This window comes from Homo sapiens, chromosome 5 (assembly GCF_000001405.40).
Source record: "Homo sapiens chromosome 5, GRCh38.p14 Primary Assembly".
In the NCBI taxonomy this organism is placed as follows: Eukaryota; Metazoa; Chordata; class Mammalia; order Primates; family Hominidae; genus Homo; species Homo sapiens.
The window spans coordinates 153,927,299-153,953,186 of NC_000005.10; the positions used below are offsets into that span (position 1 = coordinate 153,927,299).

The 25,888-nt window shown below is 41.0% G+C and overlaps 1 annotated feature.

Moving 5' to 3' along the window:
* Positions 13,254–14,453: an enhancer, noted in NCBI's record as "MED14-independent group 3 enhancer chr5:153320112-153321311 (GRCh37/hg19 assembly coordinates)". NCBI's record gives its function as "activates an origin of replication core promoter dependent on BRD2, BRD4, P300/CBP and CDK7 cofactors, and independent of MED14, by STARR-seq in HCT116 cells {active_cell/tissue: HCT116}" and the evidence as "EXISTENCE:reporter gene assay evidence [ECO:0000049][PMID:35650434]".

Sequence of the window (25,888 nt, forward strand, 5' to 3'; positions counted from 1 at the left end):
CTAGATGCACCCTGGAACAGAAGGAAACCTGCTGCCTTGAAGGTTGAACAGAAGTCACCTGCTGACTAAAGAGCTCTTGGCTCCTGAATAACCAGCAGCAATACCCAGGTAGTATACCATGCGCCTTGGGTGAGACTCTGAGAGGTGCTGGCTTTAGGTGAGACCCAGAACATTCCCAGCTGTGGTGGCTACAGAGAGAGACTTCTTCTGCTTGAAAAAAGCAAAGGGAAAAGTAAAGAGGACTTTGTTTAGACATAAGCAACTTACTAAGCTTGAACCATGAAGAAATCCCAAACCTAAACAGACCAGTAATAACTAATGAGATTGAAGCAGTAATAGAAAGTCTCCCAGCAAAGCAAAGCCTGGGACCCAATAGCTTCAATGCTGAATTCTATCAAACATATTCTTTAAAGAGAATTAATACCAATCTTACTCAAAATATTCCAAAAATAGAGGAGGAGAGAATACACCCAAACTCATTTTCTGAGGTCAATATTATCCTGATACCAAAACCAGTCAAAGACACCTCAAAAAGGAGCTAGGCACAGTGGCTCATGCCTGTAATCCCAGCACTTTGGGAGGCCAAGACGGGTGGATTGCTTGAGGTCAGGAGTTCAAGACCAGCCTGGCCAATATGGTGAAACCCCATCTCTACAAAAAATACAAAAAATTAGCCGGACATGGTGGCAAGCACTTGTAATCCCAGCTACTCGGGAAGCTGAGGCATGAGAATTGTTTGAGCCATGGAGGTAGAGGTTGCAGTGAGCTGAGATTACACCACTGCACTCCAGCCTGGGTGATGGAGCGAGACTCTGTCTCAAAAAAAAAAAAAAAAAAAAAAAAATCTAGAAAAAAAAACTACAGGTCAATATCACTGATGAACATTAATAAACAAAAATCCTCAACAACATACTAGCAAACCAAATTCAACAACACATTAAAAAGATCCTTCATTATAACCAAGCAGGACTTATCCCAGGGATGAAAGGACGGTTCAACATATGCAAGTCAATCAATGTGATACATCATATCAACAGAATGAAGAACAAAAACCATATAATCACTTCAATTGATCAATTGATTCTAAAAAAGTATTTGATAAAATTCAGCATCGCTTGATGATAAAAACCCTCAACTGGTTATAGAAGGAACATACCTCAACATAATAAAAGCCACATATGACAGACCCATAGTTAGTATCATACTTAATGGCAAAAAACCAAAAGCCTTTCCTCTATGACTGGAAACACGACAAAGATGCCCACTTTCACCACTGTTATTCAATACAGTACTGGAGGTCCTAGCTAGAACAATCAGACAAGAGAAAGAAACAAAAGATATTCAAATTGAAAAGGAATAAGTCAATCCATGTTTCCAGATGATATGATCTTATATTTGGAAAAACCTAAAGACTCCACCAAAATACTATTTGAACTGATAAACAAATTCAGTAAAGTTTCAGGATACAAAATCAACATACAAAAATCAGTAGCATGTCTACATGCCAACAGTGAATAATATGAAAAAGAAATTAAGAAGGTAATCCCGTTTACAATAGCTACAAATAAAATTAAATACCTAGGAAATAACTAAGAAGTGAAAGATCTCCAAAAAAAGGTATAAAGCATTGATGCAAGAAATTAAAAAGGACACAAAAAATGGAAAGATATTCTGTGTTTGTGGATTGGAAGAATCAATACTGTGAAAATATTCATTCTACCCAAAGCAATCTATAGATTTAATGCAATCCCTATCAAAATACCAGTGCCATTCTTCACAGGAATAGAAAAAAAAATCCTAAAATTAAGAAAAAAATTCTAAAAGTTATATGGAACCACAAAAGACCCATAATAGCAAAAGCTAAGTGAAAAGAGCAAAACTGGAGGAATCACATTACCTGACTTCAAATTATACTACAGAGCTATAGTACAGTATTGCTGGCATAAAAACAAACATATAGGCCAGTGGAGCAGAATAAAGAACCCAGAATTAAATCCATACATGTACAGTGAACTCATTTTTGACAAAGATACCAAGAGCATACATTGGAGAAAGGACAATCTCTTCAATAAATGGTGCTGAGTAACCTGGATATCCATATGCAGAAGAAAGAAACCAGATCTCTATCTCTCACCATATGCAAGAATCAAGTAAAAATGCATTAAAGACTTAAATCTAAGACCTCAAACTGAAACTACTCCAGGAAAACATTTTAGAAACTCTCCTGTAAATTGGATTGGGCAAAGATTTCTTGGGTAATACTCTATAAGCACAGGCAACCAAAGCAAAAATGGACAAATGGGATTACATCGAGTTGAAAAGCTTCTGCACAGCAAAGGAAACAATCAACAAAGTCAAGAGACAGCCCACAGGATGGGATAAAATATTTACAAACTACCCATCTGACAAGGGATTAATAATCAGAATATATAAGGAGCTCAAACAACTCTACAGGAAAAAAACTAAGAATCTGATTTTCAAATGGATGAATGATCTGAATAGGCATTTATCAAAAGAAGACATATAAATTGTAAACAGACATATGAAAAAATGCTCAACATCAGTGATCATCAGAGAAATACAAATCAAAACTACTATGAGATATCATCTTACCCCAGTTAAAATGGATTTTATCCAAATATAGGCAATAATGAATGCTGGCAAGGATGTGGAGAAAAGGGAACCCTTGAACACTGTCAGTGGGAATGCAAGTTAGTACAACCACTATGGAAAACAGTTTGGAGGTTCCCCAAAATACTAAAAGTAAAGCTACCATATCATCCAGCAATCTCACTTTTAGGTATAAACCCAAAAGAAGGGAAATTAGCATATCGAAGAGATATCTGCACTCGCATGTTTATTGCAGTTACTATTCACAATAGCCAAGATTTGAAAGCAACCTAAGTGTCCATCAATAGATTAATGGATAAAGAAAATGTGGTATTTATACACAATGGAGTACTATTCAGCCATAAAAAGAATGAGATCATGTCATTTGCAACAACATGGATAGAACTGGAGGTCATTATGTTAAGTGAAATAAGCCAGACACAGAAAGACAAACATCACATGTTCTTGCTTATTTATGGGAACTAAAAATCAAAACAATTGAGCTCATGGAGACAGAGAGTAGAAAGATAGTTACCAGAGGTTGGGAAGGGTAGTGGTGGGGTGGGGAGAAATAGGGATAAGTAATGAGTTCAAAAAAGTTAGAAAGAATGAATAAGACCTAGCTAGTATTTGCTAGCACAACAGGGTTACTACAGTCAAAAATTATTTAATCACACATTTAAAAATAATTAAAAGAGTATGATTGGATTGTTTGTAACACAAAGGATAAATGCTTGAGGAGATGGATATCCCATTTGCCCTGGCATGATTGTTACTTATTGTGTGCCTATTTCAAAATATCTTATGTACTCCATAAATACATACACCTACTATGTACCCACAAAAATTAAAAAACTTTTAAAACTCTAAAAAAAAAAAAACCACACAAGTATTCAGTCTTAGTACAACAAAAGACTTAAGTTAATAATTTTTACTTTGATTACATGTTGAAATTATATTTTTATATATTGGGCTAAATAAAATATATTTTAATTACTACAACAAAAGGCTTAAATTAATAATTTTTACTTTGATTACATGTTCAAATGATTTTTATATATTGGGCTAAATAAAAAAATATATTTTAATTAGCTTCTCCTATTTCCTTTTCCTTTCTTTAATGTGGCTAAGAGAAAATTGAATATCTTTGGCTTGAATTTGTAGCTTACCTCTTACTTCTGTTGGACAGATTACTACAGAGTGCCAGCTTTGCAAACTCAAGCCTGGGAACTTGAATGATAAACACTAAAATCACTTTCTGGCCTCTTGCTTGATTATTCCAGGAAACATCAAGAGTCAATGTTATAATAAATACTTTCTTTTGGCTACATTCTTTTTCTCTTTTTTTTTTAATTTTTATTTTTTGTTTGAGATGGAGTCTCGCTCTGTCACCCAGGCTGGAGTGCAGTGGCGGGATCTCGGCTCACTGCAAGCTCCGCCTCCCGGGTTCACACCATTCTCCTGCCTCAGCCTCCCGAGTAGCTGGGACTACAGGCGCCCGCCACAACACCCGGCTAATTTTTTGTATTTTTAGTAGAGACGGGCTTTCACCGTGTTAGCCAGAATGGTCTCGATTCCTGACCTCGTGATCTGCCCGCCTCGGCCTCCCAAAGTGCTGGGATTACAGACGTGAGCCACCGCGCCCGGCCCATTCTTTTTCTCTTGAGCTAATTGTTTAATGTCTCCGTGAGATGGTACTTTTTTTATGCCAAGAATTCCAATAGTGGAATTCCTGACAAAGCAAATGCCACAGGGGGTAGCCACAAAATGCCCTCGGTACATGAAATATCTTGCTCATTAATTTTGATGCCAGAGACAGTTTGATATCTCTCTGTTTAAAAATCTTGCACATTAAATCAGCAACATTGAAAAAATTGGCTTCTCTCAATCCTTACTCCCTTGCTACCTGCACATACTGTTCTCCCTTCTTGGGATTTCCATTTCATTTTCATCAATTTTAAATGTTTTCTCATCTGGTGATATTAACAAAGAGGCCTGAATTGTTGCTTATCTACTTTTGAGGTCTATTTATTTTATCCCTCATCACCCAGAGTGGGATTAGAGTTCATCCAGTAACTGTTAAGTCTTAGAGACAAAGCCTTCTAATTTTTTGCTTCAGTCCTGCTTCTCGGGAGACAATAGTCAAAATGAATGAATGAACCACCTAGGCCCCAGGAATATTATCTACATTGCTCAGCTGATTTCTCAAAATCAAAAGAAATCCAGAGGAACCGCTCTGATTTTCCACAAGTCAAGGTTTAGATGCCACCCACGGTCCATCCCTGATTTCCCATGCCAAGTCCAATGGCTAGACTTGTTTGTAGACGTGTTTGGCTAGACTTGGAGGCAGGGAGATCAGAGAGTGTGGTCCTGGGACAGACACTTCAGAATCACTTGGGATCTTATTAAAAATCCAGATCAGTAGGCCTCATCTTATACTTCCTGAGTCAGAAATCCTGAGAGGATTTCCGGAAAAAATGTCCAGTCTTAGCCTGGAAATCTGTACTTCAGTAAGCTTCCCATGTACATGCGCCCTAAAGCTTGAGAACCAGAGAGAAGTGTAAGCAACAATATGGAAGGGAAAATGCAGGGAGAAGACTAAGGAAAAAGCAGACAGAAAGGCAGGGATAAGCCTTTCCAGAGGGTGGTATTGATGTACATTTCCATACTATCATGTAACTTTTTCTTTCTCAAACATTTTTCTTTAGAATACATTGCACAACACTCATAAGCACATTGTCTCCCAATGTCTTCACCAATGACAGCTGAAGCATTGTGCCAACATTTATGAAAGATAAATAAGGGTAGGCTACATCTATAGTTCTCTTCTAGGTAGCCTTGTGAAATCCTTGACAAAAATGAATTGAGCCCAGATAGGATATTCTAAGGAAGAAAGCACAATAGAGCTTACTGATAAAGACAGCCTGTTCTACCCACTCCAAAGCCAGGCTGATTATAGTAATTGTGGACCCCTTCATAGTGTCTGCAAAGCTCCCCAAGGTCCTCTGAATTCCTCAGCCCACCAGCTCCACAAGCCATATTTATACAACATGACCCTGCCCTTAAGTCACAGTTGTCTGGCCCTTTCTTTGGGGAACATGGAAGTGAGGCTGAGAGATTCTTGTTCAGTCTAGGCTAGTCTCCTAAATGGGGTAGATACAAATTCAAAAGCTGTAACATGGCTGTATTCTGGCATCCCTGTGATCTAAGAAAAAGAGAAAGCTGGTGCTCAGGGTTAATAAAAAATAAGAGACGGCCGGGTGCGGTGGCTCATGCCTGTAATCCCAGCACTTTGGGAGGCCAAGGTGGGCGGATCACGAGGTGAAGAGATTGAGACTATCCTGGCCAACATGGTGAAACCCCATCTCTACTAAAAATACAAAAATTAGCTGGGCATGCTGGCACGCACCTCTAGTCCCAGCTACTCAGGAGGCTGAGGCAGGAGAATCGTTTGAACCTGGGAGGCAGAAGTTGCAGTGAGCCGAGATCACGCTACTGCACTCCAGCCTGGCGACAGAGCAAGACTGTCTCAAAAAAAAAAAAAAAAAAAAAAATGAACAAGAGCAGTGTATTAGTCCATTTTCATGCTGCTGATAAAGACATACCCAAGACTGGGAAGAAAAACAGGTTTAATTGGACTTACAGTTCCACATGGCTGGGGAGGTCTCAGAATCATGGCAGGAGGTGAAAGGGACTTCTTACAATGCAGCAGCAAGAGAAAATGAGGAAGAAGCAAAAGCAGAAACCCCCAGTAAACCCATCAGACTTCGTGAGACTTATTCACTATCACTAGAATAGCATGGGAAAGACCAGCCCCCATAGGTCCACTACCTCTCCCTGGGTCCCTCCCAAAACATGTGGGAATTATGGGAGATACAATTCAAGTTAAGATTTGAATGGGGACACAGTCAAACCATATCATTCTGCCCTTGGCCCCTCCAAATCTCATGTACTCACATTTCAAAACCAATCATGCCTTCCCAACAGTCCCCCAAAGTCTTAACTCATTTCAGCATTAACCCAAAAGTCCACAGTCCAAAGTCTCATCTGAGACAAGTCCCTTCTGCCTATGAGCCTGTAAAATCAAAAGCAAGCTAGTTACTTCCTAGATACAATGGGGGTACAGGTAGGTATTGGGTAAATACAGCCATTACAAATGGGAGAAATTGGCCAAAACAAAGGGGTTACAGGGCCCATGCAAGTCCGAAATCCAGCAAGGCAGTCAAATTTTACAGCTCTAAAATGATCTCCTTTGACTCCAGTTCTCACATCCAGTTTACACTGATTCAAGAGGTGGGTTCCCATGGTCTTGGGCAGCTCCACCCCTGTGGCTTTGTAGGGTAAACCTCCCTCCTGGCGGCTTTCATGGGCGGGTGTTGAGTGTCTGTGTCTTTTCTAGGTTCACAGTGCAAACTGTCGGTGGATCTACCATTCTGGGGCCTGGAGGACAGTGGCCCTGTTCTCACAGCTCCCAGTAGGCAGTGCCCCAGTAGGGACTCTGTATGGGGGCTCCAACCCCACATTTTCCTTCCACACTACCCTAGCAGAGGTTCTCCATGAGGGCCCTGCCCCTGCAGCAAATTTTTGCCTGGGCATCCAAGCGTTTCCATACATCTTCTGAAATCTAGGCAGAGGTTCCCAAACCTCAGTTCTTGACTTCTGTGTACCCACAGGCTCAACACCATGTGGAAGCTGCCAAGGCTTGGGGCTTCCACCCTCTGAAGCCACAGCCTAAGCTATACATTGGCCCCTTTTGGCAATAGCTGGAGCAGCTAGGACACAGGGCACCACATCTCCAGGCTGCACACAGCATGGGGACCCTGGGCCCAGTCCACAAAACCACTTTTTCATCCTAGGCCTCCGAAAATGTGATGGGAGGGGCTGCCATGAAGGTCTCTGACATGGTCTGGAGACATTTTCCCCATGGACTAACATTAGGCTCCTGGCTATTTGTGCAAATTTCTGCAGCTGGCTTGAATTTCTTCCCAGAAAATGGGTTTTTCTTTTCTATTGCATATTCAGGCTGCAAATTTTCCAAACATATATGCTCTGCTTCCCTTATAAAACTGAATGCCTTCAATAGCACCCAAGTTACCTCTTGAATATTTTGCTGCTTAGAAATTTATTCCACCAGAAACCCTCAATCATCCCTCTCAAGCTGAAAGTTCCATAATTGTCTAGGGCAGGGGCAAAATGCCACCAGTCTCTTTGCTAAAACATAACAAAAGTCACCTTTGCTCCAGTTCCCAATGGAGAAATTGGGAGAATATTGCTATCAGCATTTTGGGCAAAGCTATTCAACAAGTCTCTAAGAAGTTCCAAACTTTTCCACATTTTCCTATCTTCCTCTGAGCCCTTCAAACTGTTCCAATTTCTGCCTGTTAACCAGTTCCAAAGTTGCTTCCACATTTTCAGGTATCTTTTTAGCAACACCCCACTCCTGGTACCAACTTACTGTATTAGTCTGTTTTCATGCTACTGATGAAGACATACCCAAGACCGGGGAGAAAAAGAGGTTTAATTGGACTTACACTTCCACATGGCTGGGGAGGCCTCAGAATCGTGGTGAGAGGTGAAGGGCACTTCTTACATGGTGACAGCAAGAGAAAATGAGAAAGAAGCAGAAGCAGAAACTCCAAAAGCCATCAGATCTTATGAGACTTATTCACTGTCATGAGAATAGCATGGGAAAGACTGGCCCTCATGATTCCATTACCTCCCCCTGGGTCCCTCCCACAACACGTGGGAATTCTGGGAGATACAATTCAAGTTGAGATTTGGGTGGGGACACAACCAAACCATATCAAAGGTCAAACTTTTGTTCTATTCAGACTTTCAATTGATTGGATGAGGGCCACTTACATTAGGAAGAGCAATCTGCTTTACTCAGTATACCCATTCAAATGGTAATCTCTTCCAGAAACGCCCTCACAGACAAACCCAGAATCATGTCTAACCAAATATCTGGGCACCCTGTTGCCTAGGCAAGTTGACACATAAAATTAACCATCATGGGGACTCTCTCAACCTGTTGCAAACATACCTCATTTGGCCTGTACTGCAATTCCAGCTACAGGCCTCAGGATTTAGCTTTGGTACATCACCCTCATCAACACCTGCCCAATGGGTACTGGTTTTGTAGAGATACAGTGCAAAAATTAAACAAGAGATTCCAAACATCTCTTATGTAAATCACACTTCAGTAAAGAAAAATAAGCAAAAGGAGTGAAATGAGGGCAATGCTTCTGCCATATGACCTGCAGTGAGATCTTGCCTCTCGACAACTGTCAGAACATCCTTAATGCATAGACAGATGCCCAACTGGAAAGTCAGAAGCCTCAAGCTGAGGAAGCAGTATGTTTGAAGTAACAGAGGTCTCCAAGACCATCCCAGGTTTGGTCAGAAGATTTAGTACTCAAAGTCATGATATATTATGCTGAAAATATACAAATCAAAATCAGCAAAGGAAAAAGGCACATGGGCAAAGTCCAGAAGAAACCAGGAACATGCTTCCAAGAGTCCTCTCCCAGTGGAGCCACATCTCCTCTATGCTTAATTCCTCCAGTATCAAATTGTGATAATATATGTCAAAGGCTCTCTACTAGGGAAGCTCACTAGAGACTCATCACCCAGGGTTCTTATTAGGAGCTGCTCATGTAGGTACCCTCTACTTGGCACAGACCAAAATTCCAGGCTCCCAGAGGGAAAGCAAGTGTGCAGCATAAACCACATTGTTTGCATAAACAATTTAGGCACAGGGAAGGAATCAGTAAATGATGAGAACTACACTTATGCCCCTTCCTTTGCATTTTAGCTAAAGGGACATTCCCTTTAAACAAGTTCCCAGACACCAGACAAGAGTTAACCTTGCAAGCAAGCTATTCTAAGAATAGTAGTCTCAAGCCTACTATATGATTTTTTTAACACAAGCAGGAAAGAACACGTGCACACAGACACAGGATTTGGGATGAGTGTGAGAATGGAGGAAAAGCAACTGTTACAGAGAGGGAGGTGGGAAAAGTGAAATTCAGTAACAAAAAGTTGTGAAATGTAGAGTTCCCTGACCCCCTCATGGGACTTGCAACAGGGGTGCTGCTCATTTGCTCAATGGTTGTAGGCTCAAACCACTTATGGGAGAGGGGCGGGTGCAGGAGCCAGGGTGAGCACTTTTGGGCTCCAGCCACATGGTAGCATCCAGGGGTGTGTTACAATTAATGCTCTTTTAGAAATTGTCATCCTTAGATGGCTAAGTGTTACACCAGCTCAGTGGAGAGTCAGGGTAACACCCTTTTACACACTGCCCTATTGGTACCAAGGTCCTTGTCCAGCACCCAGGAAAAATCAGGTCGCACAAATGAAGGATGGTGAATGTGGGTATTTTATTGAGTGATGGGGTGGCTCCCAGTGGGATGGATGGGGAGCTGGAAAGGGGATGGAGTGGGAAAATGATCTTCCCCTGGAGTTGGTCATCCCATGGCCAGTCTCCTCTCCAACCATCCCCAGCCAAACTCCTCTTGATGTTCAGACACTCCTTCTCTTCTCTTCTCTGCTGTGCTGCTCTGCAGTGGAGTTTGGGGTTTATATAGGCACAGGATAGGGTCATGGTGGGCCACAGTGGTCTTGGAAAAGACAACATTTGGGCACATAAACAGGAATGCCTGTTCCCATTTAGGGCCAGGGGTTTCCAGTCTTGAGAGTGGGGCCTTTGCCAGGGAACTCCTCTCTTCTACCCAGCATTTCCTTGCCTCCTGTCTATATCAGTTGGGCCAAGAACTGGACTTTTTTTCTGCCACTTTCTCCTGCAGGTCTCACTGCAGGAACTTGGAGATGTATTGTCCCTAGTTCAGAAGTCTGTGGAGGGTGAGAGTGGGAGCACTTACTTCAATGATCACACAAGGAAGGCAATAGAATTTACCAACTCTCTTAAGAATTTGGGTACTCAGCCAGAACACATGGACAGAGATCATAAGGTCATCACTGAGTACCGCAATATATCCAGAAGTCCTATTTACAACAGTGATCAGCAGAAATGTGAAATTCTGAATGCTCACATGAACTGTCTGCAGTCGGTGGAGCAGAACTGAGCCTCCTGCACAAGTAAAAGAGGTAGACAAAGGTTGCAGGGCTGTAGCAAGGAAAGGAACACAACTAATGAACACTTGCAATTGAATGAACGTATCTTCAAGATGTTGCTATTTAATTATTCATTGCACACAAGTTCTAAAGATGCTAAATAAAGTAGAATTTGCTGTTACTAGAGTTTCTTCAGTCGCAATAGAATATTCTCTTTTTGTTACTCAGAAAATAAAAATTAACAACTCATCTGTGATTCAAGAAACATTTGCAGAAATATTTTTGCTTTTTTTGGTCATGAGGTTAGAACCACAAATATGTATCATATGTTAAAAGAAAGCCAACCTTAAATCAACAGATACAATGGCACTGTAAAGCAGAGATCTTACAGGAGAAAAGATTCCTGGTGGCAAACAATTGCTCTTGCCTTAGGATTAGAGTTGTGTGTATTTAAAAGGCAATTGTTTTTATTTTTAAAGTGGTTGCCTAAAAATTCTTGGCATCATCTGAGAAAACCTCAAGGACAAAGGCAGAATCTAAATGCAAAAATGCTTTGGATGGCCTTACCAACTCTCCATCACAGACTGAGAGCTGTGCTACACTTATGCCCCTTCCATTGCATTTTAGCTAAAGGGACATTCCCTTTAAACATGTAAATATCTCTTATAACCATAAAAATTCTTCAGATACCAACCCCAGGGGAAGGCTGAAAAGCAAGATGAGCCCATCTGTTAGCTTAATAGGAAAGGCTCAGAGCCTGGGGAGGACATAAACAATGTCTTCCAAGAAGCATCTTTCTCCCTCTCTCTGATTCTATTATACTGATAGTCATTTACATAATAGTAACTTACTTTTTAACAGACTGAAAAGTTCAATGTCTGAAGTCAAGGGGACCCACCATCTTTGTTGGATTAGACAGGATCTAGGAAATTGCAAAGAAAATGTGAAATTTCTGCCCAAGTCTATGGATGATAAAGGAGTCTGTCCACAGATGTAATCATCCAATACATAGTGCTATGTCCCACACTCATGGGAAAGATACTCTAAAAGCTTTCAACATTGCAAGCATCTTGAGTCTTCCTCCCTCTTCCTTATCACTAACAAGCGGTAGAAATACTTGTATTTGATTTGTACTTTTGGGGGAAAATCTTTTTATATTAAAATGCACTTGATGATTCTATCTTTCATAAATCTAAGTGTAAAAACACAAAACACGGAGGAAGAAAACTAGATTGTGCTCCTGCTGAAAAGCAGTGGGTGGGTGCAGAGACACTGATCGAGCTCTCTCCATCCTGCAGCTAGGCTGGGGGATGACAGTTTTTCCCATCACCCTCTTGGTTCCCAAACTGTATTAGACATCTTCCTGTCTGTAGTTTCTCCCCCGCACCAGATTTCTGAGTTGCTTTAGAGACAAAAGGGAACAAGCCTGGTATACTCTCACATATTAGAATGATGATGGCCAGAAATCTATTAGATTTCTTGTGAAAAAAGTTACAGGGTCAGATTTAAGATACAATATGGGGTGATGAAGTGGTTATCTAATTGGGCCATACCCCATGATTCTGTGGAAAATTCCAAAGTGGGTGAAAGGAAAACCAAGGGTAGACCTGGCGACTACCCCTACTTTGGTCAGAGCTGCTCCTTCCTTATTTATCTGCATGTATGTGCTCACATGTGTATACCCATGTGTCTATGCATAGGAATGTGCATATATGTATTTCTCATATGATTGATCTGAAAAAAAGGATTGTGTTACCTAGAAAAACAATTTAACAGTTTATGAACTATTGCTGGAGATGACGAAGTAGTGAACTAAGAATCAAATAATTAATTTCCTATGTGGCCTCAGGCAAGTAACTTCACCCCTCTAAACCCTTTTAACCTGATCAGCTAAATAAAAGGGGTAGCCTTTCTGTTGTCCAAAGTCCCTCCAGCTCTGGAAGTTTTGATGCTTTGATGGAGACGGGAGTATCTCGAGGGAAGGAGTCAAACTATCACAAGTGTGCAGAACTCTCCTTGGAAATCAGAGAGGCCATCAACACCTTTGGAAAGGGTGAAATGCCTTTTCCTGTGTTAAAGCAAATGCAATACTTGGCAAAATGCCACTCCAAGCCATGTCTCAGTCCCCAGATACTTTCTGAGATAGATAGCTTCTGGGCCATAGAAAACAGAAGTCCAAATCTTGCATTGAAAATAATCGCTTTTTCCCCCTAGAAACTCTTCACTTTGCTTCTGTTGTAAACCAAAAATAAACTTCTAAGGCCCCACAACCATCTGAATGGACTTCCTCTTTGGCCAGGGCACTCTTAAAATTTAACCTGAGAGACTGGTTCAGGCCATGACAGGAAGTATGGGTCAGACAGACTTCATTATACCTCTCCTACATTAAAATCAACACAGACCTTAAGTCTGATAAGAAGCATTTACCATCTATTCTCTCTAAAGCCTGCTACCTGGAGGCTTCATCTGCATGATAAAACTTTGGTTTCTACAATCTCTTATCACAACCCAGACAATTCCTTTCTATTGAACCCAGGTCTTTAAACTCAACCAATTGTCAACCAGAAAATCTTAAATCTACCTATAACCTGAAAGTCCCCCTACCTCTGAGTTGTCCTGCCTTTCTGGACTGAACCAATGTACATCTTAAGTGTATTTGACTGAAATCTCCTGTCTCCCTAAAATGCAACCAAGCTACACCCCAACCACCTTGGTCACAGGACCTCCTGAGGGTGGTGTCATGAGCCATGCTCACTCATATCTGGCTCAGAATAAATCTCTTCAAAGATTTCATAGAGTTTTACTCTTTTCATTGACAGTGTATACCTCCCCCCACCCACATGCACATGCACACACACTTTATTGTCCACAGCACTAGAACACTACTATAAGCAAGGAAATTCAGCATCTCCCTGAACACATAGAGGAACTATGGGCTCAGATTTGGGATTGATTGGCAGCCAACTCCCTGGAAAAGGTCAACCTATCAGGAATTCGTGAATGGGGCTGTCAGATACAGTAAGTTCCTCTTCAAAGGTTTAATTTCTGACTCCCTTGTTCTTTGTTTTGAGATTAACTTCCTTGTCCCTTCTCCTAAGCTACCTGCTCTGTAAACAACTTCTCCCACCAGTCGCAATCTGTAACTCACATCTCTTCCTTATTTGGAAAGAGTCCTCTTTTACTCCTAGCTACCCATTCTGTAAACTGCCCCTCCCACCAAAAGAGATTTTCCCACCGAAACCACCCTTCCCACATTTGCCACACCCTGACATGCCCAAACATGCCTTGTACTGTAAAGGACAGCCTCTCCCTTCTCGCCTAATTAGCCATACTCAATTTTAAACAGTAGCCAATCAGGTCAGTTTAGATTGTGCAGTCCAACTCCAGCCAATGGGGACAGGACACAGAAGCAGGGACTAACTGCATTAGGCATAAAAACCCCTTCCCTCCTTTGTTTGGTGTGCCCTCACAGCGGCCAGAAGTGCGAGTGGCACCCTTCTGCAGAAGTAAATTTGCCTTGCTGAGAAATCCTTTGTTTGAGTGCTCCTTTTTCTTGTGACTCTGAGCTCTTGTTTCCAACAAGGCAAAAAAAAAAAGTATCTTCAGGCCATCCAGTTACACTTTCTGGAACCTCTTTGTCTTAAACTCTTCAAGCACCAGGTATCAATTTGGCAGCTGTATGAGATGCTATGCTAGAAGCCAAGGGTACAGAGGTGAGCAAAGCAGAGTCTCCAGTTCAAGAAGGCCTTGGCCTGTGGGTAGGCAAAAAATACCCACTATAATGTAAAATGCTGAGGACTCTCAGAGCTGAAGCAGGAATGTCTTGGGCATTATTCTTTACTTAGTGCCTAGCAAAACTTCAGTAACATAGCACATGCTCAATATAGATTTGTAAAATGAATAAACTTATGGAAATGTAGGAGGAAAAGCAGTTAGTTTTGACTGGTTTGTGGGTGGGGGAGAAAGCAATTGAAACTGTACCATTTGTTCATAGGGAGACTCTGATAAGCTGTGAAATGCCTGATGACACTTGTTACTCTTCTTTCTAGGAATTTGTTCATCTTACCAGGATACAGAAAACTTCCAGTCAAGGGAATAAATCTCTGATGTTAAAATACTAGACATAACCAAGTGAGGTTTCTGAGGGTTGGTTTGTTTAGGCTTTAGGTAGAAATGGGTACATGGAAATGTTCAGTCTCAGTTCTGATTATTACTGCCTTTTTTGCATTACCACCACTCCTGCCTTCCAGCAATATGCACCAAGGCAACAAGTGATTTATAATTTAATGCTCCAAGCACATTAGTTTAATTGAGGGGTGCCAAAACACTAGAACCTCAAAAAGTATGATTAACATATTTCAATTTATTCAAACCTTCCTCTCCACTTATAATTAATGGGGCTGGGGATACAGTTACCAGATAAAATACTGGATACCAGTTAAATTGAAATTCCAGATAAACAATAAATAATTTTTTAGTGTAAGTGTGTCCTCAACATTGCATGGAAAATACATAACCCTAGACACACGTAAAATGTGGCAGCCCTAGCTGGAGGGAGAAGAATTAAGGTAAACAGAGCAAAGAGGTATGTCCTTAATAAAAATTGCCACTACAAAAGCCAAAATAGACAAATGGGATCTAATTAAACTAAAGAGCTTCTGCACAGCAAAAGAAACTACCTTTGGAATGAACAGGCAACCTACAGAATGGGAGAACATTTTTGCAATCTACCCATCTGACAAAGGGCTAATATCAAGAATCTACAAAGAACTTAAACAAATTTATAAGGAAAAAAAAAACAACCCCATCAAAAAGTGGGCAAAGAACTTCTCAAAAGAAGACATTTATGCAGCCAACAGACATATGAAAAAATGCTCATCATCACTGGTCATCAGAGAAATGCAAATCAAAACCACAGTGAAATACCATCTCACACCAGTTAAAATTGTGATCATTAAAAAGTCAGGAAACAACAGATGCTGGAGAGGATGTGGAGAAATAGGAATGCTTTTACACTGTTGGTGGGAGTGTAAACTAGTTCAACCATTGTGGAACACAGTGTGGCAATTCCTCAAGGATCTACATCTAGAAATACCATTTGACCTAGTGATCCCATTACTGGGTATATACCCAAAGGATTATAAATCATGCTACTGTAAAGACACATGCATACATATGTTTATTGCGGCACTATTCACAATAGCAAAAACTTGGAACCAACCAAAATGTCCATCAATGATAGACTGGATTAAGAAAATGTGGCACATATACACCATGGAATACTATGCAGCCATAAAAAATGATGAGTTCATGTCCTTTGCAGGGACATGGATGAAGCTGGAAACCATCATTCTGAGCAAACTATCACAAGGACAGAAAACCAAACACCACACGTTCTCACCCATAGGTGGGAACTGAATAATGAGAACACTTGTACACAGGGCGGGGAACATCACACACGGGAGCCTATCATAGGGTGGGGCACAGGGGTTGGGATAGCATTAGGAGGAATACCTAATGTAAATGACAAGTTAATGGGTGCAGCAAACCAACATGGCACATGTATATCTATGTAACAAACCTGAATGTTGTGCACATGTACCCTAGAACTTAAAGCATAATTTAAAAATAAATAAATGAAATAAAATAAAGAAAAAATAAAAATAAAATAAAAATTGCCACGATATCCAAAGTTCAGGTGTTAGAGTCAGTTTCAAAGTTTCCCATATAGTCCTATTTCCTTGGAATTCCATTAGTCCTGCAAACATTTGCTCTCTTCTAGGTATTCTTATAAAATCGTTGACCAAAATGAATTGAACCCAGATAGGATATTCTAAGGAAGAAAGTGCAATAGAGCTTACCTGATAAAGACAGCCTGTTCCACCCACCCCAAAGTCAGGCTAATGATAGGTGTCTGCAAAGCTACCCAAGGTCCTCTGAATTCCTCAGCCCACTAGCTCCACAAGCCACACTTATACAACATGACCCTGTCTGCCCCTAAGTCACAGTTGCCTGGACCTTTCTTTGGAGAATGTGGAAATGAGGCTGAGAGATTCTTGTTCAGTCTAGGCTAGTCTCTTCAATGGGGTAGATACAAATTCAAGAGCTGTAACATGGCTGTATTCTGGAATCCCTGTGATCTAAGAGGAGAAAAGTGGTGTTTAAGGTTAATAAAAAATAATAGACAAGAACAGTGTATTAGTCCGTTTTCATGCTGCTGATAAAGACATACCCAAGACTGGGAAGAAAAAGAGGTTTAATTGGACTTACAGTTCCACACGGCTCGGGAGGCCTCAGAATCATGGCAGGTGAAAGACACTGCTTACATCATGGCAACAAAAGAAAATGAGAAAGAAGCAAAAGCAGAAACCCCTGATAAACCCATCAGATCTCATGAGACTTATTCGCTATCACGAGAATAGCATGGGAAAGACAAGCCCTCATGATTCCATTACCTCCCCCGGGTCCCTCCCACAACACATGGGAATTCTGGGAGACATAATTCAAGTTGAGATTTGAATAGGGACACAGCCAAACTATATCATTCTGCCCCTGGCCCCTCCAAATTTCATGTCCTTATATTTCAAAACCAATCATGCCTTCCCAACAGGTCCCCAAAGTCTTAACTCATTTCAGCATTAACCCCAAAGTCCATGGTCCAAAGTCTCATCTGACACAAGGCAAGTCCTTTCTGCCTATGGGCCTGTAAATCAACAGCAGCTAATTACTTCCTAAATACCATGAGGGTACAGGTATTGGGTAAATACAGCCATTCCAAATGGAAGAAATTGGCCAAAACAAAGGGGCTACAGGGCCCATGCAAGTCTGAAATCCAGCAGGGCAGTCAAATTTTAAAGCTCCAAAGTGATCTTCTTTGACTCATATCCTGGGCAGCTCCGCCCCCGTGGCTGTGCAGAGTACCTCCCTCCTGGCTGTTTTCATGGGCTAGCATTGAGTATCTGTGGCTTATTCAGGGGTACAGTGCAAGTGTTGGTGGATCTGCCATTCTGGGGCTTGAGGATGGTGGCCCTCTTCTCACAGCTCCACTTAGGCAGTGCCCCAGTAGGGACTCTGTGTGGGGGCTCCAACCTCACGTTTTCCTTCCACACTCCCCTAGCAGAGGGTCTCCATGAGGGCTCCACCCCTGCAGCAAACTTTTGCCTGGGCATCCAGGCATTTCCATACATCTTCTGAAATCTAGGCAGAGGTTCTCAAACCTCAATTCTTGACTTCTGTGCACTTGCAGGCTCTACACCACTGCTGCCAAGGTTTGGGGCTCACCACCCTCTGAAGCCACAGCCTAAGCTGTTTGTTGGCCCCTTTCTGCCATGGCTGGAGCGGCTGAGACACAGGACACCAAATTCCTAGGCTGCACACAGCACAGGGACCCTGGGCCTGGCCCACGAAACCACTTTTTCCTCCTGTGCCTCTATGCCTATAATGGTAGGGACTTTTGTGAAGGTCTCTGACGTGGCCTGGAGACATTTTCCCCGTGGTCTTGGGGATTAACATTAGGCTCCTTGCTACTTTTGCAAATTTCTGCAGCAGCTTGAATTTCTTCTCAAAAAATGGGTTTTTCTTTTCTACTGCATCATCAGGCTGCAAATTTTCCAAACTTTATGCTCTGTTTTCCTTTTAAACTGAATGCCTTTAACAGTACCTAAGTCACCTCTTGAATGCTTTTCTGGTTAGAAATTTCTTTCACCAGATACCCTGAATAATCTCCCTCAAGTTCAAAGTTCCACAGATGTCTAGGGCAGGGGCAAAATGCCACCAGCCTCTTTGCTAAACCATAACAAAAGAGTCACCTTTGGTGCAATTCCCAACAAGTTCCTCATGTCCCTCTGAGACCACCTCATCCTGGACCTTATTGTTCATATCATTATCATCATTTTTGTCAAAGCCATTCAACAAATCTCTAAGAGGTTCCAAACTTTCCCACATTTTCCTGTCTTCTTCTGAGCCCTCCAAACTGTTCCAACCACTGCCTGTTACCCAGTTCCAAAGTTGCTTCCACATTTTTGGGTATCTTTTCAGCAATGCCCCACTCCACTGGTACCAATTTACTGTATTAGTCTGTTTTCTTGCTGCAGATAAAGACATATCCAAGACTGGGAAGAAAAAGAGGTTTAATTGGACTTACAATTCCACATGGCTGGGGAGGCCTCAGAATCATGGCAGGAGGTGAAAGGCACTTCTTACATCTCAGCAGCAAGAGAAAATGAGGAAGAAGCAAAAGCAGAAACCCCTGATAAACCCATCAGATCTCATAAGACTCATTCACTTTCATGAGAATAGCATGGGAAAGATCAGCCCCCATGATTCCATTACCTAGGTCCGTCCCACAACAAGTGGGAATTCTGGGAGATACAATTCAAGTTGAGTTTTGAATGGGGACACAGACAAACCACATCAAACAGATATTCAGAAAGGGACAAAAGTAAGGAGAATGAAAAATCTCATCATCTTCATTTTAGCCCCTTCCGAGAGTCCAGCTGCATTTCTGCCTGCAGTCTCCATCAAAACAAGCTATATCCTTAATAATTTCCCCCCTTTTACTTGATCCAATTCAAGTCAGTTTCTATAATATCAGCTAGTACTGCAAATACTTTATTTTTTTAACCTGCCTCTTTTCACAAGGAATTTCAGACACCCATGAATAAAACATGGATAGCCAGATGGATAGAAGACAGATTGACTTCTTCCTGAGAGTGCAGTCACTGATGGGCAAAGCAGCAAAATCACCCATCCTGTTCTACTAATCCATCAATTTATTCTGCAAGATGTCCGCTGAGCACTTGCTTTGTTTCAGGATCTTTTTGGGGTGCTGGGATGCAGTAGTCAGTAAGGTGACCAAAGGTCTGCCTTCCCAGATCTATGTGTACAAACACACACACACACACACACACACACACACACACACATGCACACACAATGCGGCAGTAATCCAGAACCACAAGATATAGGAAAAAATAGGAAAGAAAATTCAAATCCAAGATATGTTTCAACAGAAGACATTGAAAGAATTGTTGCCCCATTAAATATATGCAATGAAGAAAATATTATATTTATGTCTATTGCCCAGGAGAATGAAGGTGACACTTAACAAAAAGAAAAACTAAAAGTCAGGAAAAACTTAAACTAATCTTCTGCTGGGTTCTGTTTACAGTATGATTGTTTTACCATTTTTTCCAAATTATCAGCCTTCCTCATTCTTTCAACTAATCTATGTTCTCCCTATATTTCAAAAAGGTAATTCAAAAACTATCATCTGTTCCTATTCGGCCATCTTGGCCGAATCTCTAATCATAAAATCTCTAATCATAAAATCTAATCATAATCTCTAATCATAAAATCAAAGTAAATATTAATAGAGATAAAAACTGATAGAATTGACTATTTAAAAAGAAAAACAGGCCAGGTGAGGCGGCTCACATCTGTAATCCCTACACTTTCGGGTCACTTGAGGTCAGGAGATTGAGATCAGCCTGGCCAACATGGTGAAACCCCATCTCTACTAAAAATACAAAAATTAGCTGGCCGTGGTGGCAGGCACCTGTAATTCCAGCTACTCAGGGGGCTGAGGCAGGAGAATCACTTGAACTGGGGAGGTAGAGGTTGCACTGAGCCGAGATCATGCCACTGCACTCCAGCCTGGATGATAGAGCAACACTCTGTCTCAAAAAAAAAAGGAGAGAAAATAAAAATATATGGAGGTCATATAAAAAGATAAATATTGCTCTTTACAAAGCTGCTGTATAGGGGGTGGAGCCAAGATGGCCGAATAGGAACAGCTCCAGTCTACAGCACCCAGCATGAGCGACGCAGAAGACGGGTGATTTTTGCATTTCCAACTGAGGTACCAGGTTCATCTCACGGGGGAGTGCCGGACAGTGGGTGCAAGACAGTGGGTGCGGTGCACCGTGTGTGAGCTGAAGCAGGGCTAGGCATTGCCTCACCCAGGAAGTGCAAGGGGTCAGGGAACTCCCTTTCCTAGTCAAAGAAAGGGGTGACAGACGGCACCTGGAAAACCGGGTCACTCCCACCCTAATACTGTGCTTTTCCAATGGGCTTATCAAACAGCACACCAGGAGATTAAATCCCGCACATGGCTCAGAGGGTCCTACGCCCACGGAGCCTCACTCATTGCTAGCACAGCAGTCTACGATCAAACTGCAAGGTGGCCATATCAGGGATTCCTCAGGGATCTAGAACTAGAAATATCATTTGACCCAGCCATCCCAATACTGGGTATATACCCAAAGGATTATAAATCATGCTGCTATAAAGACACATGCACACGTATGTTTATTGTGGCACTATTCACAATAGCAAAGACTTGGAACCAACCGAAATGTCCAACAATGATAGAATGGATTAAGAAAATGTGGCACATATACACCATGGAATACTATGCAGCCATAAAAAATGATGAGTTCATGTCCTTTGTAGGGACATGGATGAAGCTGGAAACCATCATTCTCAGCAAACTATCGCAAGGATGAAAAACCAAACACCGCATGTTCTCACTCATAGGTGGGAATTGAACAATGAGAACACACGGACACAGGAAGGGGAACATCACACACCGGGCCTATTGTGGGGTGGGGGGAGGCGGGAAGGATAGCATTAGGAGATATACCTAATGTTAAATGACGAGTTAATGGGTGCAGCACACCAACATGGCACATGTATACATATGTAACAAACCTGCACGTTGTGCATATGTACCCTAAAACTTAAAGTATAATAATAATTTAAAAAGCTGCTGTATAATTAAGATGATATATAGAAAATCCATCTATAACTTGAACTCTGCTATACAAAGTTTAGTCACTACTGCTATATTTGAAAATAAAAACATACAAAAAAAAAGATAAATATCTCAGTATAAACATCCCCAAGGGAAAATTGGATCATATAGGGACAAGGAAATACAAAATAGGTACAGGTAATTGGTAAGTTAAAAGCCTATCAATCTCTCCAATAATGAAATAAATGTAAATCAAAATATAAAACTTATTTTTCACTTATCACATTGACAAATTTGCAAAAAAAAAAAAAAAGAACATATATAATGCAGGTAAAAAAAAAACTGTGGTGGACAGAAGTGAGGATTCTTCGCACTTCACAGAGAGCAGTTTGGTGATACATGCCAAAACATTAAATGTGTTCACTCCATGGCCCAGCATTTCTACTTCTCAGAAGTTTTCTTTAGGAAATAGAAAGACAATGGAATATAGTTACAACAACAATATATTCACTGTAGATACGTTTACAATAGAAAAAATGGAAACATTTCAACACATCAGTTAATACGTGAATTGATAAACTAGGTATATCTACCTATACGATGAAATACTAGCCACATAGTAAAGATGATAATATAGGTTTATATAACATTCATTGGTATGGAAAAGATGTTCACAATCTACTACATGAAACAAAGCAGTTACAAAATAGTTTGAAAATAGGGGCCCCATTTTTCTCTTTTTTTTTTTTTTTTTTTTTTTTTGAGACGGAGTCTCGCTCTTTCGCCCAGGCTGGACTGCAGTGGCGCTGTCTTGGCTCACTGCAAGCTCCGCCTCCCGGGTTCACGCCATTCTCCTGCCTCAGCCTCCCGAGTAGCTGGGACTACAGGCGCCCGCTACCATGCCCGGCTAATTTTTTTTGTATTTTTAGTAGAGACGGGGTTTCACCGTGTTAGCCAGGATGGTCTCGATCTCCTGACCTCGTTATCCGCCCGCCTCAGCCTCCCAAAGTGCTGGGATTACAGGCGTGAGCCACCGCGCCCGGCCCCATTTTTCTCTTTTTTGACATATGTCCCTATTTACATGCATGTATTTGAAGAAAATTCACCACCTGGCCAGGCATGGTGGCTCACACCTGTAATTCCAACACTTTGGGAGGCCAAGGCAGGAGGATGGCTTGCACTCAGGAGTTCGAGACCAGCCTGGGAAACATAGTGAGACCCCAGCTCTTGGAAAAAAAAAAAAAAGAAAGAAAAGAATATTCACCACCATATCAACAAGGGTTATGGGTGATTGGATAATGGCTGATACTGACTTTCTCTTTTAAAATGCAACTTCATTTTCTGATTTTTCCAAAGAGAAATCTTACAATCAGAAAAATATAGCTATTAAAAATACTATTATAAAAGGATTTCATTCAATAATAAGAAAATTTCATAATTGTAATATAAATAATTGGCCAAAATATATTAGCAATTCATTAAAGAAGTTTAAATCACATACAAACATGGAAAAATATTCAACTTTACAAGAGATGAAAACTAAAATATGCCTTTAATTTTAGTGAATATTTTTTAAAATTTAAAATACACAGTGCAGGTAAGGAGTAGTTAAACAAGCATGATCAAACATTGTTCATAGACATATAAAATGGTACCACCCTTTTGGAAAGCAATTTTTCAATATTTTTAGAAATATTTAATTCCTTAATTTATTCATACGCTTTGATGCAATATTTCTACTTTATAGTATTTCAAAACAAATAAAATTAAATGCAGATACACACACATGCCATGTTTAGCAAATCATGTTTATTATAAACAGAAATTTTTAAACAAAATAAATATCTATCAACCAGGGAATGATTTAGTGTATCTTACAATAGAATATCATGGCCATGCACAGTGGCTTATGCCTGTAATCCCAGCACTTTGGGAGACCAAGGCAGGTGGATACTTGAGGCCAGGAGTTCGAGACCAGCCTGGCCAACATGGTGAAACCCCATCTCTACTAAAAATACAAAAACTAGCTGGGCATGTTGGCGCATACTTGTAATCCCAACTACTTGGGAGGCTGAAGCAGGAGAATCGCTTGAACCAGGGAAGCGGAGGTTGCAGTGAGCCAAGATGGTACCACTGCACTCCAGCCTGGGCGACAGAGTGAGACTCTGTCTCGAAAAGAAAAATAATATATATATATGTAATATATCATGTGACATTGGATATTATATTTATAAAGAGTTCATGATAATGCAAAAGCACTTATATTTTTTAAATATATAAAGTTAAATATATATAATTTACATAGGCATATTACATATGTATATGTAAAAACTAAGTAAAAGAAAATAAATAAGAAAAAGAAAATCTATACCAAGTTCTTAAAAATATCTACGAGTAGTAGGACTAAGGGTAATTTTTTTCTTCTTATACTTTCCTGTATTTTCTAAATGTTAAATCATGAATATAGATTATTTTTATAATTGAATTTTTCCCCCAATTTTCTTCACTAGGCTTGGTAGATTTTCTACTCCATGAAGCTACAGCACTTAAATATTCAGCTTGCCATATATAGTCTTGCCCAATAGCTCATTTTTATCATATCATGCCCTTCTCAAACCTCCTGTAGTTCCCCATTGCCTAAGATACCAAGTTCAAATGCCATGTGGGCATGACTTTCAAAAACTCAATAAGCTGTCCGCAACTTAGCCTCATTTCTCACTCCTCTCCTAAATGGCACCTGCATGCTCATTTCTGACCATTTTCATTCCTAGTTTTGAACCTTGATCCAGGCTGTCTCCCCACCCGAATGGCCCTTCGCCATCACCTCTGCCTCTCCAAGAGCTCTCTCTCCTTACGAGACTCAGACCAACCCCACTCCTTTGGGAAGCTTCCCATGATTACTCTGGCGTCCTCTCATCTCACCCTTCTCTAACTCAGTCTCTACCACTTAAGAGCTCACTTTAACCTTTGCCTTACACTGCCCTCTGTAGCTAATTGGAACAGTATTTTTCAGGTGGATTGTGTATTGGCAGGAAGAGACACTACACATGAGCACCTACTAACATTTTCCATCTACTTGCTAAAATAAATCAGAAACATAAGGCAGAGAAAAGTGGCCTTTGCAGGGCAAAAACCAAGGCAGCACCTTTCAAATGTTCCCCAAGTCTCCTAGTAGGGAACCAGTAGCTGCCCATGACTTCCTTCACCACAGGTATGGTCTCCCCTATCTCCAAGGTTCAGTGTTGGCTGTGCAGTGGTCCTCCCTTACCTGCAACGAATATATTCCAAGACCCCCGGTGGATGTCTAAAACTGTGGATAGTACCAAATCCTATATTTTACTGTGTTTTTTTCTACACATACATACCTATGATAAAGCTGAATTTATAAATTCGACATAGTAAGAGATTAACAATAGCTACTAATAAACTACAACAATCATGACAATATGATGTAAAACAGTTGTGTGAATGTGGTAACTCTCTCAAAATATCTTGTTATACTGTACTCTCTATTTTCAGCCTGTGGTTGACCACTGGTAATTGAAACTGCAGCTAAGCAGAGACTACAGTAGTAGAGTCCTTTTGTACCCAAGCCCACCTTACCATTCAGGAAGGATTTACCCAATAGTCTGTGTATTTAATAATCCCCTGTGAGGGGATATTTCTAGATGTTAGACTCTCCTGGTTCTTGAAACAATTGCAGCCTCAATGAAGCTACATCTTCCCCTAGGAGGGAGAAAAGTAGAGTCTGTGCCCAGGAGTTTCTGAGGAGTGTAGCTCTTTTAAGCATCCCAGGTAGCCATGGCCCCTCCCTTGGTTATCCACCATTTACAACCATAGGGCTTCACCCTCAGCAAGATTGTAAGGGTAAGGGAATGGGAACCAATGCTTTTTGATCACTTGCCATAACCATCAGGATCACCATCATAATATCATATTAAGCACCACCAGTTTTGAGCTGCTCATGTGGGCCAAGAATGCGACACGAATTATCCAATCCATGTGACAATGCTGTGAGGTGAGTATATCATCTCCACTTTTTCAGACAGAGACACAGAGTCTCAAGGTCAGTATCTCGCTCAAGGTTGCATACCTTCAAAGTAACAGGGCCAGATGTAGAGCCTCTGCCTGCAAAGCACCACCCCATGGGCCTTTCTGTAAATCCTTCACAGTGACCGTCTCAGTCAAGAACTCTGTCCTGACATCTAACCTAATTCCTGCATGTTGCAGCTTCACACTCTTTCTTCCTGTTCTCTTCTTGGAGGAACTGGTCCCCAGGCTTGGAAGCAATAGTTCTTTTGCCAGAATTGTTAAAACACTCTTTGGCCATCTTTCAGGATGAATCATTCTAGATCTTCCTAGGCCTCATATTTTGAGCGATTAATTGTTTCCATTCTCCTCTCCTGAACACTCTTCTCATTCTCTGCAGCCCTCTGACATGCACTCTCCATT